Consider the following 21887-nt stretch of genomic DNA (forward strand, 5'->3'; position numbering starts at 1 on the left):
AGGTAGATAAAACCACAAATATGGGGAGAAACCAGAGCAGAAAAGCTGAAAATTCTAAAAAACGAGTGCCTCTTCTCCTCCAAAGGACCGCAGCTCCTCGACAGCAACAGAACAAAGCTGGATGGAAAATGACTTTGATGAGTTGACAGAAGTAGGCTTCAGAAGCTCAGTAATAACAAACTTGTCCAAGCTAAAGGAGCATATTCTAACCCATTGCAAGGAAGCTAAAAACCTTGAAAAAAGGTTAGATGAATGGCTAACCAGAATAAACAGTGTAGAGAAGACTTTAAATGACCTGATGGAGCTGAAAACCATGGCACGAGAACTTCGTGACGCATGCAAAAGCTTCAATAGCCGATTTGATCAAGTGGAAGAAAGGGTAACAGTGATTGAAGATCAAATTAATGAAATAAAGTGAGAAGACAAGGTTAGAGAAAAAAGAGTAAAAAGAAATGAAAAAACCCTCCAAGAAATATGGGACTATGTGAAAAGATCAAATCTACGTTTGATTAGTGTACTTGAAACTGACAGGGAGAATGGAACCAAGTTGGAAAACACTCTTCAGGATATTATCCAGGAGAACTTCCCCAACCTAGCAAGGCAGGCCAACATTCAGATTCAGGAAATACAGAGAACACCACAAAGATACTCCTCAAGAAGAGGAACTCCAAGACACATACTTGTCAGATTCACCAAAGTTGAAATGAAGGAAAAAATGTTAAGGGTAGCCAGAGAGAAAGGTCGGGTTACCCACAAAGGGAAGCCCATCAGACTAACAGCAGATCTCTCAGCAGAAACCCTACAAGCCAGAGGAGAGTGGGGACCAATATTCAACATTCTTAAAGAAAAGAATTTTCAACCCAGAATTTCATATCCAGCCAAACTAAGCTTCATAAGTGAAGGAGAAATAAAATCCTTTACAGACAAGCAAATGCTGAGAGATTTTGTCACCACCAGGCCTGCCTTACAAGAGCTCCTGAAGGAAGCACTAAACATGGAAAGGAACAACCAGTACCAGCCACTGCAAAAACACCCCAAATTGCAAAGACCATCAATGCTAGGAAGAAACTGCATCAACTAACGGGCAAAATAACCAGCTAACATCATAATGACAGAATCAAATTCACACATAACAATATTAACCTTAAATGTAAATGGGCTAAATGCCCCAATTAAAAGACACAGACAGGCAAATTGGATAAAGAGTCAAGACCCATCAGTGTGCTGTATTCAGGAGACCCATCTCACGTGCGGAGACACATATAGGCTCAAAATTAAGGGATGGAGGAAGATCTACCAAGCAAATGGAAAACAAAAAAAACACAAGGGTTGCAATTCTAGTCTCTGATAAAACAGACTTTAAACCAACAAAGATCAAAAGAGACAAAGAAGACCATTACATAATGGTAAAGGGATCAATTCAACAAGAAGAGCTAACTATCCTAAATATATATGCACCCAATACAGGAGCACCCAGATTCATAAAGCAAGTCCTTAGAGACCTACAAAGAGACTTAGAGTCCCACACAATAATAAGGGGAGACTTTAACACCCCACTGTCAATATTAGACAGATCAACGAGACAGAAGGTTAACAAGGATATCCAGGCTTGAACTCAGCTCTGGACCAAGTGGACCTAATAGACATCTACAGAATTCTCCACCCCAAATCAACAGAATATACATTCTTCTCAGCATCACATCGCACTTATTCCAAAATTGACCGCATAATTGGAAGTAAAGCACTCCTCAGCAAATGTAAAAGAAAAGAAATCACAACAAACTGTCTCTCAGACCACAGTGCAATCAAATTAGAACTCAGGATTAAGAAACTCACTCAAAACCACACAACTACATGGAAACTGAACAACCTGCTCCTGAATGACTACTGGGTACATAACGAAATGAAGGCAGAAATAAAGACATTCTTTGAAACCAATGAGAACAAAGACAAAACATACCAGAATCTCTGGGACACATTTAAAGCAATGTGTAGAGGGAAATTTATAGCACTAAATGCCCACAAGAGAAAGCAGGAAAGATCTAAAATCGACACCCTAACATCACAATTAAAAGAACTAGAGAAGCGACAGTGAACAAATTCAAAAGCTAGCAGAAGGCAAGAAATAACTAAGATCAGAGCAGAACTGAAGGAGCTAGAGACACAAAAAACCCTTCAAAAAAAATCGATGAATCCAGGAGCTGGTTTTTTGAAAAGATCAACAAAAGTGATAGATCACTAGCAAGACTAATAAAGATGAAAAGAGAGAAAAATCAAATAGACGCATTCAAAAATGATAAAGGGGATATCACCACCGATCCCACAGAAATACAAACTACCATCAGAGAATACTATAAACACCTCTACACAAATAAACTAGAAAATCTAGAAGAAATGGATAAATTCCTGAACACAAACACCCTCCCAAGACTAAACCAGGAAGAAGTTGAATCTCTGAATAGACCAATAACAGGCTCTGAAATTGAGGCAATAATTAATAGCCTACCAACCAAAAAAAGTCCAGGACCAGACGGATTCACAGCCAAATTCTACCAGAGGTACAAAGAGGAGCGGTTACCGTTCCTTGTGAAACTATTCCAGTCAACAGAAAAAGAGGGAATCCTCCCTAACTCATTTTATGAGGCCAGCATCATCCTGATACCAAAGCCTGGCAGAGACACAACAAAAAAAGAGAATTTTAGACCAATGTCCCTGATGAACATTGATGCAAAAATCCTCAATAAAATACTGGCAAACCAAATCCAGCAGCACATCAAAAAGCTTATCCGCCACGATCAAGTCAGCTTCATCCCTGGAATGCAAGGCTGGTTCAACATATGCAAATCAGTAAACGTAATCCATCACATAAACAGAACCAATGACAAAAACCACATGATTATCTCAACAGATGCAGAAAAGGCCTTTGACAAAATTCAACAGCCCTTCATGCTAAAAACTCTCAATAAACTAGATATTGATGAAATGTATCTCAAAATAATAAGAGCTATTTATGACAAAACCACAGCCAATATCATACTGAATGGGCAAAAACTGGAAGCATTCCCTTTGAAAACCAGCACAAGACGAGGATGCCCTCTGTCACCACTCCTATTCAACATAGTGTTGGAAGTTCTGGCCAGGGCAATCAGGCAAGAGAAAGAAATAACGGTATTCAAATAGGAAAAAAGGAAGTCAAATTGTCCCTGTTTGCAGATGACATGATTGTATATCTAGAAAACCCCATCGTCTCAGCCCAAAATCTCCTTAAGCTGAGAAGCAACTTCAGCAAAGTCTCAGGATACAAAAATCAATGTGCAAAAATCACAAGCATTTCTATACACCAATAACAGACAAACAGAAAGTCAAATCATAAGTGAACTCCCATTCACAATTGCTACAAAGAGAATAAAATACCTAGGAATCCAACTTACAAGGGATGTGAAGGACCTCTTCAAGGAGAACAATAAACTGCTGCTCAACAAAAGAGGACACAAACAAATGGAAGAACATTCCATGCTCATGGATAGGAAGAATGAATATCATGGAAATGGCCATACTGCCCAAGGTAATTTGTAGATTCAATGCCATCCCCATCAAGCTACCAATGACTTTCTTCACAGAATTGGAAAAAAACTACTTTAAAGTTCATATTGAACCAAAAAAGAGCCCGCATTGCCAAAACAATCCTATGCCAAAAGAACAAAGCTGGAGGCATCACGCTACCTGACTTCAAACCATAATACAAGGCTACAGTAACCAAAACAGCATGGCACTGGTACCAAAACAGATATATAGAACAGAACAGAGGCCTCAGAAATAACACCACACATCTACAACTGCCTGATCTTTGACAAACCTGACAAACACAATAAATGGGGAAAGGATTCCCTATTTAATAAATGGTGCTGGCAAAACTGGCTAGCCACATGTAGAAAGCTGAAACTCGATCCCTTCCTTATACCTTATACAAAAATTAATTCAAGATGGATTAAAGACTTAAATGTTAGACCTAAAACCATCAAAACCCTAGAAGAAAACCTAGGCAATACCACTCAGGACATAGGCATGGACAAGGACTTCATGACTAAAACACCAAAAGCAATGGCAACAAAAGCCAAAATAGACAAATGGGATCTAATTAAACTTAAGAGCTTCTGCACGGCAGAAGAAACTACCATCAGAGTGAACAGGCAGCCTGCAGAATGGGAGAAAATTTTTGCAATCTACCCATCTGACAAAGGGCTAATATCCAGAATCTACAAAGAACTTAAACAAATTTACAAGAAAAAGACAACCCCATCAAAAAGTGGGTGAAGGATATGAACAGACACTTCTCAAAAGAAGACATTTATGCAGCCAACAGACACATGAAAAAATGCTCATCATCATTGGTCATCAGAGAAATGCAAATCAAAACCACAATGAGATACCATCTCACACCAGTTAGAATGGTGATCATTAAAAAGTCAGGAAACAACAAATGCTGGAGAGGATGTGGAGAAATAGGAACGCTTTTGCACTGTTGGTGGGAGTGTAAATTGGTTCAACCATTGTGGAAGACAGTATGGTGATTCCTCAAGGATCTAGAACTAGAAATATCATTTGACCCAGCAATCCAACTACTGGATATATACCCAAAGGATTATAAATCATGCTACTATAAAAACACATGCACACATATGTTTATTGTGGCACTATTGACAATAGCAAAGACTTGGAACCAACCCAAATGTCCATCAATGATAGACTGGATTAAGAAAATGTGGCACATATACATCACAGAATACTGTGCAGCCATAAAAAAGGATGAGTTCATGTCCTTTTCAGGGACATGGATGAAGCTGGAAATCATCATTCTCAGCACACCATCACAAGGACAGAAAACCAAACACTGCATGTTCTCACTCATAGGTGGGAATTGAACAATGAGAACACTTGGACACAGGGCGGGGAACATCACACACCAGGGCCTGTCAGGGGGTGTGGCAGACTGGGGGAGGGGTAGCATTAGGAGAAATACCTCATGTAAATGACAAGTTGGTGGGTGCAGCAAATCAACATGGCACATGTATACCTATGTAACAAACCTGCACGTTGTGCACGTGTACCCTAGAACTTAAAGTATAAAAAAAAGAAAATTTAAGAAAAACTAAAAACACTAAGGAAATGTCTTCTCTCTTAAATATTTCATTTGCAAACTTGTTCTCAAAATTATAATTTTAAACCAGCTAAAAACCTCCAATTAGGACTAATTAGTGCTTAGGGCAATAAAACTCATCATTGTCAGCGGTAAGAATTCCCAAGTGTCCAATTACCCAAGACACAGTCATAGTGACTCAGGCAAGCATGATCCCCATGCCTTAGGGAGCCAATGATTAAGACAGAGTGTCCACTTTGACCAGTAAATGGGTTCTTTTCAATTATCAAGTCATTTTCAAAGATCCTCACGCACTATGGCTTGTTATTACAAAGACTGGATGATGCCACCACTCAAATCGCAGCTACTTTCAAACATAACTACCATTGTAAATGATTATGGGAGGCTGGTGAGGTGAAGCTCAAGTCCACAGAACCAAGAAAATCCTTAGTTCAAAACATCACCATTACCCTGAAGATGATTCCTGCTTGAGTGAAGGAGAATTTGAATAAAGCGTCCCTTCCATGAGTGTACGATATGTTTATTTCAAAACCCCTCTGGGATGAAATGATATTATGCCTGATGTTTTCTTCAGTATTACTTATGGCTTGTGGCAGGAGGGAAGAGAATGACTGAAGTATAGAGGCAATAAAATTGGTTATGGGTTAATCATTGTTAAAGCTCTGTGATGAGTACATGGGATTTTACTCTATTTTTGTATGTTTTTGATTTTTTTCTAATAACAAGAAGTAAATTTAACTAGCATACGGCATAAAAAGAGGTAATAACAAAACTAGGACTTCAGTTTGGTATCATGAAACTGTTTTGGTGTGCAAGCTTCCAAGGAGCTTGCAATGTCAAATGATTGGGCAACAGATGCCCAAGTTACTACAATGCAAAAATGTAGCCCAGACTAAAATAACACAAGGACAGCTAATGCAAGTTGAACAGTTACTGTATTTAAGGCACTGTTCTGTGTTTTGCATGTATTCATTCAACTAATTCTCGTAGTAACCCTCTGAAATAGGTATTATGATTTTCCCCTTTTGGAAACTGAGGCACAGAGAGGTTAAGTTACTTGTGCAAGGTTACAGGGCTAATAAGAAGTGGAGGCAGGATTTGATGCCAGTGGGTCATTGGTCTAGGATTTTATCTAAGGCAATAGGTAGAGTTGGGAGTAGGGAACGAATGTATCCCAGGGCAAGGATATAATCTGGACAAAGATAGGCTGGCGGGGAGGTGCAGGATATGTTCAGGAGGTGGTCTGGATAACTGCTGTGGGATTTGGAGGCTGGTGCAGGAGGCAGCATTCTAAGAAGGATCCGCAAGTGAGGTGGAGCATAAAAGGGTTGAAAAAGTTGCTAGGAGAAAGAAATAAATTCTGTGGTTGGGTCAGAAACTGGGCCAGGGGCATAGATGAGGCTCATTCTCTCATTACACTCAAGATAATGCTGCTACTCTCAGAAGCCCCAATAGCCTGGAGCCTGGCACTTGTTGTTGGCTGGCATAGGACCCAGCATGAGCCTCCCACCAGCTGTGCAGACACCAAGGCATCCCACAGGTTCTTCAGGTGTTTTCTGGGCATAGGCACCAAATCCGATGCCCCATCTCTGTTCAGCAGAGTTGGGGCTCTTGAGAAAGGCTGGTGTCAGCATGCCCTGAAACTCCAGTATAGGGCTGACATGCTGAGCAGCGATAGGCTTGTTGCTATTAACTATTCCAGCCACACTGACTGCCACAAAGGCTAGTTACAATGCAGGAGCAATTGCTTCACAGGAAAAGGCAGCGGCTGTCCAGCACGAGATTCTCACTGCTGTGAAAATAGAAAATAAAATGCACTATAGGGGACACTCAAAGAAGTAAAATGTTCCCCTTGGTTGGGAGACTGAGTTCAATAGCAACACATCTCTCCTAGGTTTTCCTGACACTTTAAACCATCATCTCATACCCTCTGCATTTACTCATTGTTTTCCTTTATTAAACTCCACGCCAAGGGTGCTTTAGGAAAACAAACTTCATACATATGCAGAACTGCTTTTAGGGAATGTGTATATTAGAATAGCTTGCCTTGTGCTCGATTTGCTTTTGTTGGATTATTCCTGTTTAAGCAGAGCAAGCGTATTTATTCTACTGTGAACCATTTAATAATTACATGCAGTATCTGAGCTCCAGGGATGTACTTGAAATACAGTTAAGACATTTTCAAAAAGAGTATAATTTTCTCTTAGCTTGCAATGAGCAAAATACATTTGACCAAACAAAATAATAATAATAGTAACTCAAATTGTAAAAAGGTAGAAAATACACATTTAATCAGCATCAGTAATGTGCAAAACAGATATAACTGATTTGCTGAGAGCTATCAGGATTTAGCATCACATTTTTTCCCTTGCTGGCACTCAAAAAATATTGACTGACTGGTTGATAGATGAGTGGCATACCTTTCAACCATGCCAAGATGTTGAGTGGCCTTGACATCTGTCCATTGTCAAGCTGCCTGCTGCTCTCAAGGTCTGCAGCCCACGTTTTGTCAATAATCTTGCAGCCCTGCTCATTTTAGGTCAATGTTTGGTGATGCATTGCAGATCTGTATTCCATTACTGTGCTGTTGTCCATAAAAATCTCTCTTGCATAGCATTTCTTTGACAGGTGTTCACTACTGAAATGTCATCCCTGCCATTGACGATATTTATGAAGCATTGGGGACGCAGCATACTCTATCTATTAAACCCTAAACAGTGAGAGATTCTAGGTTAGATGCAATTCTTGGCTGCAGAAAGTTTACTATAAATTCAGGAAGAGAGAAGACATTTATTACTCAAGCAAACAAAATGGAGGGAAGGAAGATGGATAAATGGAGGCTGAAGAACATTTATCTCTTTGTGAGCCAATGTGATTGATAGCATTAGTTAAACCTTCAAATAAGAAAGGTTTTCTGGGATTAACTTTTATTTTCTTATTAAAAGTCATACTTCATTCTGAAGAACCCCAAGCAACAGGCCACAAAAAAGTGTGAGAAAAAAGGCCCTCTCTGGTTGGCTATTTTCACACTGATGTAAGCTGATACCTTACCCTGGTGATACTTAATGGTTTGGGAGTAGATGAACATCTTTCCCTTATGTCTTTATGAACTAATTCTGAAACACCTCCTGGATAATAAAATGCAAACTGTTTTCAAAGACATAGTCTTTTTCATGTGAGCTTTAAGACTACCTCATCAGTCGATATTAGCTCAAAGGTTACTGCTTGTAACCAACCCTTTCTACATCCAAACCAGAGCACAGTGAAATCCAACAGCATTTAATTTTTAAATTTCTAGTCCCCTACCTGGATTAGAAAAGTATTTATTATTTAAATTTTTCCTTCAGCTAAAAGGAGTAGATGTAATATAGATTTAGGGGTTATGGAGAAAATTATAAAGATGGTAAAAGAAAGACCTATATTTGGGTATAATTAGTTCTACTTTGTAAGCTAATGTGTACATGCCATATAGAGATTTTATGGTACTCAGACGGCAATCAATAACTCTTTTCTTAAGAGAGAGAAATACAGCACATTATGTAGACAAATGTAATATTATGTTAATTGCTTGGTATGGAATGAGTGATCCCTGAATCAGTTCCCTTATCTATAAACAGGGACTAAAGCTCCCACCTTGAAGGCTTGTACTGCGGATTCAAGACAGGTATAGAGTGCTTGGTACAGAGCATGGCACATGGTAAGCACTCCCTAACCGACAACCAATAGAGTTGTGAAATTCAGCAAAGAGATTTCTACAGGAGCTAAGTCAAAGATTATTCAACGACAAAGAAAAGTAGGAGAATTTATGCTACAGGAGTAAATGTAGCATTCACCCACCTTTCTCAGACATCTGCTCTCTCATTTAAGCTTTTGACAGAAACTGGATAACAGTCAGCTCAAGGTTAAACTCTCTGTCAAGATTCTAGTGCCTGTGTTTCTGCATTGCTGATTGAAAAAGGAGTTATAGCCAAAGATACCTTGTATGCATGAAACAAAGTTGATCTATTAGGAAATTTGAAATGTCTAGCATCTGGCCTCAGAAAGATGAGGAGTCTGCTCACTTCTCCAGAAAGCAATGGGTGCTTGCCAGCAGACTCAGGGACTTCCCCAGAGGCAGCTTTGCTCATTCTCACCTGTCACCTATTCTAACCTATTCTGCCTGAGCTATTCATTTCTCATCTATTCTATCAAGTAGGCTCTTGAAACCCCAAAGTCTTACCCTGTAGAGCTCATTGGACATTAGCCAGCAAACGTGGTCGACGCCAAACTAGCCAGGAAGTCTCTGCATTTCAGTTCTAATATGTCTAACACTGGAGCTTCTTTCTCCAAAGCCAAGGGTGAAAAGACTGCAGCTGGCCACCATGGGTCTTCTGTTGTCTAAGAATCTGTAGATGCAGAGAGACTGGAGACCAGAAGACAAAGACAGCCTCATGTGCATGAACTTAGCCAAGTTGCACACTGGCTTGCTGACTAATCTGTCTTATCTCCTTATCTCTGTGAATGCAGATCCCTGAAACACTGTTGTAGAAACTGGTTGTCAGAAACAGAACTAAGGAGTCAATTGAAACAATCATAGGACCAGTAGCCAGGAAAGGAAGAGAGGTAAAAAAAAAAAAAAAAAAAAAAAAAAAAAAAGACGAAAAAATATCTCCACATCAAAATTATCCTAAAATCCACTATTCCAAAATGCCTGAAAAAAATACACCTAAAAAAACTAAAAATCAGGATATTAATTTGTACTATATGAAATCGGTTCTATGAAGCAGTCTTGAAAAAGACTTTATCATAAGTTATTTTTAGTTTGTTCAGAGTGATAAATGCATGGGTGACATACATTTTAAAGAAAACTAAATGATGGTGGAAACATAGGCAAAAACAAAAGCATGGACATGAAAAGAACCAATTGCAGCTGAAAAATACAGCCTGTGGAATAAAATCTCAATAAATGGTATAAAATCTAGCCTGGATGCACTTGAGGAGTTAATTATCGAATTGAAGATAACAGCCTGTTTATCAAAAACCTACAGCAAACATTATTCTTCATGGTGAAGCTTTGATAGCATTCTCTAAGTCTGACAAGATGTGGGTTCTCCCTATCATCCCTTTAATTCAACACTATGCTACATTTCATAGCTGATCAAATAGTTATAAATCTAAGAAAAGGTGTGAGATCATTAAGAAGAAAATTATAAAATTTACAAAAGAATAAAGGAGTCCTAAATAAATAGAGTGGCATACTAAGCTCAGGGATAAGAAGATGGAACAATATAAAGATATCATATCAAATTAATATATTAATTCATTGCAATTTCAATTAAAGTTTCAATAGATTATTCAGTGGAACTAGACAAAATTGTTTTAAAATTGATATGGAAAAACAAGTGGCCAAAATAGAAGAAGACAAGTAAGGAGGAGGAAAAAAGGAGAAAAAAGAGGAAGAGAATGAAGATAAAGAAGAAGAAGATGAGGTTGAAGTTCAGCAACAACAGAACAACAGCAAGATGGGAAGCTTTGCCGACCGGATACCAAAACATTACACAACCATAATAATATGAGATTGTAGGGTTAGCATACAGAGAGACAAAAAGATCAAGAAACAGAATAGAGAGTGCAAAAACAGACACCACATAAAAGGAACCCTAATATATGATTAAGATAGCAATAAAAACAATAAGGAAATGATGGAGTGAAGGTATTCAATAAATGTGATAACTATGCACATGGGGAGAAATAGGCACCCACACCACATACTGAGCATAAATAAATTCCAGGAGAATGAAAGACCTAAATGGATATAAATCTTTTAGGAAAAAATAAAGAAAAACATCTTTATGATCATGACATAGGGACTGATTTCTTCCCTTTTCTCCCCAATTGATTTAGAAGTTTATTTTGCCAAGGTTAAGGGTCATGACCCATGACACAGCCTCAGGAGGTCCTGAGAACAGGTGCCCAAGGTGGTTGAGTCAGAGCTTGATTTTATATGTTTTAGGGAGACATAAGACATTAATCAATACATGTGAAGTAGACATTGGCTTGGTCTGGAAAGGCAGGACATCTTGAAGCAGGGGCTTCCAGGTTATAGGTAGATTCAAAGATTTTCTGATTGGCAATTGGTTGAATTATTACCTAAAGACCTGGAATCAATAGAAAGGTGTGTCTGGGTTAAGATAAGGGTTTGTGGAGACCAGGGTTCTTTTTATGTAGATGAATCTCCTAAGTGGCCACTCTTAGAGGCAATAGATGACAGATGATTCCTGTTCAGACCTTTAAAAGGTGCTAGACTCTCAGCTAATCTCTCCAGGATTGGAAAAAGATCTGGAAAGGGCAGAGGATTCTCTACAGAATGTAAATTAGGGATGGATTTCTTAAGCCACTAAACCACATGGAAAAATAAATGATTAATAAAGCTGGCTACATTAAAATTAAACACTTTTGTACAAAAAAAAAAGTCACAATAAATAAATTTGGAAGACAAGCCACAGACTAGAAGACGTGCAGCAAATTTTATGGAAAAAAAGGCTTAATATAGAAAATTTGTAAAGAACAGCTACAAATCAATGAAAAATAAATAAATACCCTTGTAGAAGAAATGGGCCAAGGTTATTAACAGGAAATTCACAGAAAAGAAAATCTAAGCCAAATAGCCTATGAAAAGATTACCTTGCTAGTGATGAGGAAATGCAAAATGAAACAATAACATACCATTTCACACCAACTGGACTAGCAAAAATGGTAACATTCAACAATGATCAATGTTGAAAAGGATTGAGCAACAGGATTGCTCACACCTTGAAGGAGGTAGTACATAGCCATATAACCTGTTTTAAATCCTACAAGAAGACCTCAGAGAAACTATTCCTTATGGGTACATGGAAATAATAAACAAGAATGTTTCTTTTCAAATTATTTGTAATAGCAAGCAAATTGCAAACAAATTAAATACCTATCATTAGAAGTATAAATAAATAAATCACAGCATATTTATAAATGGACTACTACACAGCACTAAAAATGGATGAACTAGAATTCACAAGTTAACTTCAGAAAATGTAGCAAATGAAGCCAATTTTACATAGATCATACACTAGGAAATTTTATACAGTTTGAAACATGCAAAGAGTGACATGTATGCTTATGCATACCTGATTATAAGTTCATAAAAATGTTCTGAACAGCAAATTTAGTACACTTGTTACCTCTGAGGAAGCAAAGAGGGGAAGGAATGGCATCAGAGAGGGCCTCAAATTGTATCTGTAAAGATTTATGTTGTTTCTTGGCGCGGAGGGGGTTGTTTTTTGTTTTTTGAGACAGAGTCTCACTCTGTCGCCCAGGCTGGAGTGCAGTGGCTCCGTCTCGGCTCACTGTGACCTCCGCCTCTCTGGTTCATGCGATTCTCCTGCCTCAGCCTCCTGAGTAGCTGAGATTACAGGCACGCGCCACCACGCCTGGCTAATTTTTGTATTTTTAGTAGAGACAGGGTTTCACCATGTTGGTCAGGCTGGTCTCAAACTCCTGACCTCGTGATCTACCCACCTCAGCCTCCCAAAGTGCTGGGATTACAGGCGTGAGCCACAGCGCCCAGCCTTTTATTTTTATTTGAGACAGTCTCATTCTGTCACCCAGGCTGGAGTGCAGTGGCGTAATCTTGGCACACTGTAACCTCCGACTCCTAGGTTCAAGCAATTCTCATGTCTCAGCCTCCCGAGTAGCTAGAACTACAGAGACAGGCCACCATACCTGGCTAATTTTTTTGTGTTTTTAGTAGAGACGGGGTTTCCAGGCTGGTCTTGAACTCCTGATCTCAAGCAATACGCCCACCTTGGCCTCCCAAAGTGCTGGGATTACAGGAGTGAGCCACCACACCCAGCCTATAAAGAATTATGTTTTTCTAAAAATAATCCAAAGTAAGAAAAATGTTTGGCTTTGATAGACTTGGATGGTGGCTATATGAGAGTCATCATACTATTCACTGAAATTGTCTATATTTTTTTAAATATTTCATAATTTCACATATTTAAATAATAAGCCTGAGCCAAAATGGAAACCCCAAAGTGTCAGACAGGCCCATTCACCATTAAAAGACCCACTTCTACACACCAGCCTCAAAGTGCGCATTAAATAAACGAATGCCAAAAGTCCATCATGCACCCTGCACACACCTAGTGAGAGGGTAGGGGAATTCGACCACTAGACAAGGCAGCCATTTTTTTTCTGTTCATCAAAGACTGCTTTGTACTGATCCTTGTCACCCAACATCTCTTTTTGTGGGATCCTTCAAATTAGTTTATGTCACTTATTATTAGAATTTATCCTTCCAAAACAGTTTATCGAGTAGGATCTAATAAAATTATAGGAATAATCAATAGGAATAAGATTAAAATGTGCTAGTTCATGTTATCCTAGTAGCTGTAACAAATAAATCTTGGCCCTGAAATATTAGTGGCTTAGCGGCTTAGCACCAAAAGAAGTGTATCACTCACCCACCAGTCCATCTCTGTGTTCCTGGTGGAGCAGCTCTCCTCTAAGCAGTGATTAGGGGATGCAGACTCCTTTCATCTTTGGCATAGGTTTCCAATGTTCCTGGGCTTTTTTGCATCAAACTACTTGAGGGGAAAGAGAGTGAATAATTGCCCAAGGGTAATTTTTATGGGCCAGGTTAACAAATAGCATTTACCCATCTGCTCACATATTTGCCATAACTCAGTCACATGGCCACATACAAGTGCAAGGGAGGATGGGAGCCTTACTGCAGCCTGGGGAGAAAAGAGAATGACTGGTGACCATTTAGCATTTTCTGCCACCAACAAAAACCATGTTACAGAGTGAGAGACAATACTGTACCAGAATACCTAGTTGAATGGTGATATGGTTTGACTCTGTGTCTCCACTGAAATCTCATCTTGAATTGTAATTGCCATAATCCCCATGTGTCAAGGGCAAGACCAGGTGGAGGTAACTGAATCATGGGGTCAGTTTCCCCCATGCGGTTCTCATGATAATGAGTGAGTCTTACAAGATCTGATGGTTTTATAAGCATCTGGCATTTCCCCTGCTGGCACTCATTTACTCCTTCCTGCCACCCTGTGAAGAGGTGCCTTCCACCATGATTTTAAGTTTCCTAAGGCCTCCCAAGCAATGCTGAACTGTAAGTCAATTAACCCTCTTTCCTTTATAAATTACCCAGTCTCTGGTATTTCTTCATAGCAGTGTGAAAACAGACTAATATGGGTATTAGCAAATGACTGAACTAAGAAACCAGCAAAAGCAGATTTAATTACTTAGTTACTTTTTGTTTTAGTCATGGTTCTCCAGAGAACAGAACCAGTAGGATGTGTATACATATAAAAAGAGGTTCATTATAAGGAATTGGCTCACCTAAGTCTGGAGACTGGCAAGTCCAAAATCTGCAGGGTGAGCCAGCAGGCTGGAGACCCTGAGAGCCAATGGTCCAGCTTGAGTCTGAAGGTAGCCTGCTATAGAACCAGGAAGATCCAACGTTACAGGTGAAGTCCAAAGACAGTCTTCCAGAGAATTCTCTCTTCTCAGAGAAGGCCAGATCTTTTGTCTATTTAAACCTTCAAGTGATTGGATGAGGCCCACGCACATTATGGAGGACAAGCTGCTCTAGTCAATGTCCACAAATTGAAATGTGAGTCTCATCCAAAATACCCTTGCAGCAACACCTAGAATAATGTCTGACTGAATGTCTGGATACCTCGTGGCCCAGCCATATTGACAAATGAAATTAACCGTTACAATTTTAATCTGCATGTTTCTAATAGGATTACATGATAGTTAAAGATCATGGTTAAGAGCAGGGCTTTGGAAGCAGCAGACCTGAGTTTGAATTCTTGTCCTGCCTCCTATTTGAGAAGTGACTTCACATCTATCTAAGCTTCAGTTTTCTCATCTTTAAAATGGGGATAATAATAGGCTGTTGTGAGGATTTAATAGGATAATACATGTAACTCTCTCAGCACAGGGCCCATCTCATAGTAGGTGCTGGTAAAAGAGGTTGTTTTATTCATATTGCTGGATATATCTAACACTATTCCCTAAGTGTAGTACATATATAAATACATGCTTTTGGCTGGAAAAACTAAGTGAGATGATCAAATCACTCTGATGGAAAAGCCAGCAGTGTGGATGGAAAAGGTGTGCCTGTTCTTTCTCTCAGGAAATCCACAGGGTTGCGCACAGGGCCTCAGGTTTTCATTTGGACACCCCAGCAGCCCCTCAATACAGGCTATTCACAAAAGCCCCAATACAGTCACCCTGACAGTCCAGCTGTGAACCCTGGCTCCCCACACGTGAGCCATGGTGTCCCTCTAGCCTTGTTCATTCATTGTGTCAGTAATCTACTGCCATGATAACGCTGCATAACAAATTATTCCAGAATTCAGTAGCTTGAAACAATAAGCATTGATTATTGCTCCCAAGTCTATAGTTTGGCTGGAAAGTTCTATTGATCTGGACCAGGCTAGGCTTGTCTTGGCTGAGCTCACCCTTGTCTCCCTGGTCAGCTGGCAGGTTGCTGGGGGCTGATTGGTTTAGGATGACCTCACTCACATGTTGATGGATTACTGTTGACTGGGGTGTCAGGCATTACAGGTTATGTGTCTTTCATCATCCAATAGGCTAGCCCGGGCTTACTCACATGGAGCCTAGACAGGGTGGCAAGAGAAAGCAGAAAAGCCACATGGTCTCCTGAGGCCCAGGCTCATCACTTCTGCCACATTCTTTCAGTCAAAATAAATGACAAGAGAAGTCCAGATTCAAAAGCCCAGGGTTGTGAGAAGGCTTGGTGTTAGGAACAATCGTAAGAAACCTCTATTTATGGCTGATTGCTAATTAGTGTTGCCTAATTTAGCAATGAAATGTTTCTTCCCATATGTTCCTCTGGAGAGCCCATGGCATTCCTCTCCCCCGCTTAAGGGCCAAAATTAAGATACAGAAGACTTATTTAATATCTTTACTTTGTTCAAGCTGGTTCACATACACTTGTCCTCCAGCCTTTGGTGAACTGTTTTAGGACAGGGACAGGTTTAACACAAGGGCCGACCTCTGCAGTGACACTGGGTTTACATATCTGGGTACATGATAGGCGGGTTTCATTCTTGTTCCAAAGAGAATTTTGAGGCATGAAATATGTAGCCTTTATGGAGGCAGGATTTACTTTGACTCATACAGAGAAAGAAAATGTGTGTGTGTGTGTGTGTATTTTCAATCCTTGCATGTGATATTTTTAAGGGCTGGTGCGATAGCTTTGCTTGCCCCAAGAGGATGTCCCAGACAGTGCACTAGTTGATGCTGCAGAAATGGAAAATTCCTAGGGATATGTAGCCAATGAACCCCTTCACCCACATTTCCTGATTGTTTGCCACAATTTGAACAGTGAGTGGAAAGACCTTGTGCATTCCGCAGGCCATACTCGCACTGTCCCAGCAGACCTGGGAATGTGCCCATTTGATTCAGTAGTTGTTCCACCCACCATTAAAATGGACTTTTCTAGCCACACTCAGCAGCTCACAGCTGTAATCCCAGCAATGTGGGAGGCTTAGATGGGAAGATCGCTTGAGCCCAGGAGTTTGAGACCAGCCTGGGCAACATGGGAAACCCCCTTCTCTACAAAAAATACAAAAAATTAGCCAGGCGTGGTGCACACACCTGTGGTCCCAGCTACTGAAGAGGCTGAGGCAAGAGAATCACCTGAGCCCAGGAAGTCGAAGCTGCAGTAAGCCAAGATTGCACCACTGCATTCCAGCCTGGGTGACCGAGGAGACTCTGTCTCAAAAAAAAAAAAAAAAAAAAAAAAAAAAAAAAGAATAAATAAATATAAATAAAGTGGACTTTTCATGGTTGGATCTGGTAGTTCCAGATGATTTGTACCATTGGAATCTTTTGCATCTTGAATGCTGTTTGGGTCTGAAAACACAGCCTTCTCAGTGATTCAGCTTATACTTGTTTTATTTCTCTATTGCGGCTTTACAAACCACCCCAAAATGGGGCGCTTTACAGAAAACTAAAAGACAGGTAGATAATGGTTTGCTCAGCACTTTAAGTCTTCACAGAACTTTAACACAAGGGCTGACCTCTTCAGTGACACAGGGTTTACTTGTATATGATACGCAGATTTCATTTTTGTTCCAAAGAGAATTTTGAGCCCATGAGAGATCTAGCCAAATTCGTTTCACTGCATATCTAATGTGTCTTTATATTTTTCCAAAGCCACGGGACCCGATGTGCAGGAGAAGTTTCTGCTGCCGCCAACAACAATATCTGTGGAGTTGGAGTAGCATACAACTCCAAGGTTGCAGGTAAGCCATCCCTGCCAAACAGAGGCCCCCACTAGGTATCACACTGATCTCAAGGCTGACTGTGGCCCAGCAAAAAATCCCACTGGTGCAGAAAAGCTAGGATCCACAGATTTGGCACAAGTGAAAAAAATTTTTTTCTTTTAACCTGCATAACAATATCAATAGTTTTAAATTTTTAATTTAAGCATAATATAAATTCAAAAAAGTTAACAAATCATAAATAAGCTAATGACTTTTCCCAAACTGGCCATACCCATACAGTGATCAGGAAACAAAATGTAACCAGCACCCCAAACATGTCCCCTTCCAGTTACTACTCTGACACCCAAGAATAATCATGATCTTGTTTTTTAACAGCAAAAAAAAAATGGTTATTGCCAGTTTTTGAAATTTATATAAATAGAATTGTCAGTCACTACTCTTCTGTGTCAGTGTCAATAACATTTTAATGAGTCTCAAATATAGACTATAGAATACAAGGTGGTGTGTATAAATTATTTGTAAACATACTCAGAGCTCTTCAAAATGTTTTGCACAATGGAACTCATCTTTAAAAAGAGAAATTCTGCCTAGAACCTTTTTCTTACATTTCATTGGGTAGGATATTTAAGAATTTCCTATTGATGGAGCCTTTAGAAATAAGAGTGGCAAGTCACTGGAAATTTAGAACCCAATATCCCTCCCCTCTCAGAAAAAAAAAGAGAGAGAGACACAGACAGAGACAGAGACTGAGAGATTCATAAGCTTTCAACGAGATGTCTGAGAATGGAGTGGCACCAGTCTTTTTCCAAGTTTTGCATCAAATTGATTCTTAATTTATTCAGGCTGAGTCACCCAACCTTGTTTTTCTTTTTTCTTTTCTTTTTTGTTTACAACTGTCCTGATATTTTCTTTTCCTGGCAATTTAATGGAACCATAAACCTACTTTCTGCTGACACTCCATTTCCATGGAACTAAATAAAGCAAAGGTAACCTATACAAACCCACTATTAACCTCTTTTCAACACTGTTTGCTAAGAGGCTTGCCTGAACTGGGTGCTGAATGTCACAAAAGAATACATCTGGAGGTTTCTAAAATGTAAATAGAGGAGGCTTAGCCCCTGGGTTTCAGCTCTCTTTACTTTGTGCACATCCAAAATGCTGGCATTAAAATGTCAGGAGCCATTATGAGCTCAGGGGAAAGAATATCACTCGGTTAATATTTTATAAGCCAGGCTCAGACCTGGGATGGAATCTAAGGGAGGCGGGTTCTCTACTCACAGGACAGAACTGGAAGCAACTGAAAAATTCAAACCTGAATTTCTTGTTCACACACCCAAGGTAACTGGTTTTTGGAACAAAGTAAAATGACCACCTGCAAAAGTTAAAAGAGTTAGGGGGAGCTCACAGCTTTCTGGAGGTTCCTGGGAGCTTCTTTTTCCATCTCCTTCTTTTCCTTTTTTCCTCTTCTCTTATTATTTGCACTCTGAAAACACCTGAGCATTGAGTGCTCATCAAATGTATCTAATTCTCCTGCTGTCTTAGTTTGCTCTGCCTAAAAGCAAAACCTGAGACAAGGATTCCGGGCAAGCAGTTAATGTGGGAGGTGGTCCCCGGAAGCCAGAGTGAGGGAGTTGGGGAAGAAGACAGGAAAGGAATGGAGGCCAACGAAGTGAGTCTCATGGACAACAGGGGCCCCGTCCTGCAGGTAATTCTCTGAGGAAGTGTGGAGAACACCCCTCAGAATTGACCCCGCTAATGTGAGGAGGCTGCGGCATTAATCTGCCAGTTCCCATCTTTCATTGTTCGGGGGTGCCGTCGGGCCTGTCCAGCCTGCCCAGCTCGCTTGAACTGAGTGGAGCTCCTTGAGCAGAGGACACCCCCAGGCAAAAAGCCAGGGAGCAGGCCAGAGGACCCGGTGGGTGCAGCAGCCTCTGCCTCGCCTGCTGAATGCAGCCTGACACCTCAAAGACGCGACTGGGCTTCTGTGAAGCCCAATGACAGCTAGGGCATCACAGCAACGTTTTGAGGTTCCAGAAACCAAGAACAGACATCCAAAGATTTTGAGCAAGGGAGGCTCCTTTCTTTCTTTTCCCACTCCCTTAGCCCCAGCTTGGCTCCCCTGTGACCACGTACGCTGGTTCTAACTACAAGGGCTGCGAGGCTCCAGTCCCATGCCTGTGCCTTAGGGAACCCAGTGTCCTCTGGCTCCCTGGGGCGTCAGCATGAATTCTTGAGGAAGCACTGGGGAATTACTCATGGATTACAAAAACAGCAGAGTTTATCTTACAAATTTAAGGAAAACATTTTATTCATCCTGGCTGGCAATTCCAAAAGTTGGCTGGTTTTTAATTATTTGCTAAAAATGAGCCAAACCCTCCAGAGAATCTTTCCATTCGGGAGCTTTCTGGGCTAAGGAGGTCTAAAGCGCCACCTGGTGGCCAACTCGGATCGTTGCTGGTCTCAAAGTCGAGGTGTTCGTTCGTTACAGGTTAGGGGGGCGCCCCTGTGATGTCTGAGGTCCTTCCCCAGCACCCCTCCACGCTGTCTCCAGAAAAAGCCCAAAGTTAAAATGTGGTTGAATCTTAACCCAGGGATTCAAAAAAGAAGAGTGGAGATTGTAAATTGAGTCCTCTGAACAGAAGAGAGCATTGAGCATCTCTGCATCTACCTGAGTTCCTCTTCTGTTCATAAATTTTTCTCATTTTTCCATCAAGGCTCCTGTCTTTTTCTTGTTGATTTGTAGGCATTCTTGGTGTGTCCCAAAGGTTAGCCCCTAACCCATTTTAATCAATGCAAAGATCTTCTCCTTCATTTCTCTTCGCGTCCGTCTTCATTTCAAACTCCGTGACATGTAGACCCGCACATACGGGATGTCCCAAAAGTCATCCTGCAGTCTTCAAGCTTTAATAACCCCAGGAACATTATTTGAAAGTTTATTTACATTTCCATTTTCACTGATTTAATTGTATAAATTTTGAAGAAAAATATTACTTTTTTTATTTTGAAAATGCCTTTATTCAAGTAACTGTCTTTTTTAAAAAGGACCCCATTCTTTCCTTCTTTCTTTTTTCATTTTAATTTTTAAGTAAACAACATCTTCAATCAAAAAGATTGAGTCAAAAATTAAAATTAAGTGTGTTATTCAAAATCCACAAAACCAAGCAAATGTACCACAAACAATGACCTTCCAAATGATGGTTTTTGCAAATTTGTCAAATGTATATTTCTGAAAATATTAAAGCTCGAGACCACATCAAGGAGTCGTAACACTGTCTCCTGCCTTCAGGCCTTTTGTGTGGTCCATAGTTACTGTGGGCACCTTCCTGTTGCAGGGGATGGAAGCTGGCGGACAGGTCCCCTGCCCCATATAGCTCACAGTCTAGGAGGAGAAAAAGACAGGGAGCAAATAAAAAAAAATCAGATAACAACTCATGAAAGAGGACAGAGAGTAACCAGGGCTCAGGGACAAGAGGCGCCTGAGGGTGGGGCTCTACAGTTCCTCACTGTTCTGGATTTCTGCAGAGACTCTCAGAGCAGCCCTAAGAGGGGGCCAGGCCAGGTGGGTTTGGTCCTATTCACCTTCCTTTTTAAACCAAAGCACACAGATTTACACACCGGGCTTCGGGATGAGATCACCTTTGATTGAAGATTTTGAAAAATATTTAAAAACCACACTGTTGACCATTGTGAAAATGCCGTGAAATTTCTCTACCAGCTATGAAGTGCTTTCACATATTATTATCACTATTATTATTGGCCAATGAATCTCATAACACTGCAGATAAACATATTTTATCTGAGCTTTTCAATAAACAAGTAAAAATCACTGTAAGTACAATGACTAACATGAGTTTTCAGAACCTAAAACCTGGATGAGCATGAATTTCCTCCTTATCATCCAGAGCTAATATTCATGAGCACAAAAAGTGGCATTGATGAGCACCGAAGTTTGTGGGCAGATGTAGTATTTACTGGAGGCAGGGACAGGCACACCTTGTGCAACAGGAGCAGAGGCAGAGAGGGTGCAGCTCAAATCCCCTGGACATGCAGCCCCCGGGGCACCAGGGCTAGCCACAGTGCATGCTGCACAGGCAGACAGAGAAGGCTCTAAATGAATGGAAGAGACCCACAGAGTCACCTCTACTCATTAATGTGCTGTGCAGGCCTGCCTGGGGTCAGATAGAAACACTTGATGTGTGCCTGTGTCTGTTCTTGCCCATCAAATACACATATCAGCATTGTTAGGGATGTGAAGACACAGACTCCTAGCTCCTTTGATTTCTCTCTCTCTCTCTCTCTCTCTCTCTCCCCCCACTTCCTTCCCTCCTCCTCCTCCCCCCCTTCCTCCCTCTCTCCCTCTCTCTCTTCCTCCCCTCCTCCTCCCCCCCCCTTCCTACTTCTCTCCCTTTCCTCTCTCTTTCCCTCTC

The 21887-nt window shown here is 40.5% G+C and overlaps 1 protein-coding gene across 3 annotated transcripts in view, besides 1 other annotated feature; it reads left to right on the forward strand.

The window, feature by feature from the left end:
• Positions 1 to 21887, forward strand: part of PCSK2 (proprotein convertase subtilisin/kexin type 2) — a 258472-nt gene that overhangs the window by 185939 nt on the left and 50646 nt on the right. For all 3 annotated transcript variants that reach the window (NM_001201528.2, NM_002594.5, NM_001201529.3), the window contains one exon: positions 17390 to 17478. In NM_001201528.2, the coding sequence (NP_001188457.1) occupies positions 17390 to 17478 (89 nt within the window). The remainder of the gene's footprint in view (positions 1 to 17389; positions 17479 to 21887) is intronic.
• Positions 18873 to 19379: an enhancer, noted in NCBI's record as "H3K4me1 hESC enhancer chr20:17411563-17412069 (GRCh37/hg19 assembly coordinates)". NCBI's record gives its function as "activates a minimal SCP1, AML or CMV promoter by ChIP-STARR-seq in primed H9 embryonic stem cells {active_cell/tissue: H9 hESC(primed)}" and the evidence as "EXISTENCE:reporter gene assay evidence [ECO:0000049][PMID:30033119]".

The sequence above is a fragment of the Homo sapiens genome, chromosome 20 (assembly GCF_000001405.40).
Source record: "Homo sapiens chromosome 20, GRCh38.p14 Primary Assembly".
In the NCBI taxonomy this organism is placed as follows: domain Eukaryota; kingdom Metazoa; phylum Chordata; class Mammalia; order Primates; family Hominidae; genus Homo; species Homo sapiens.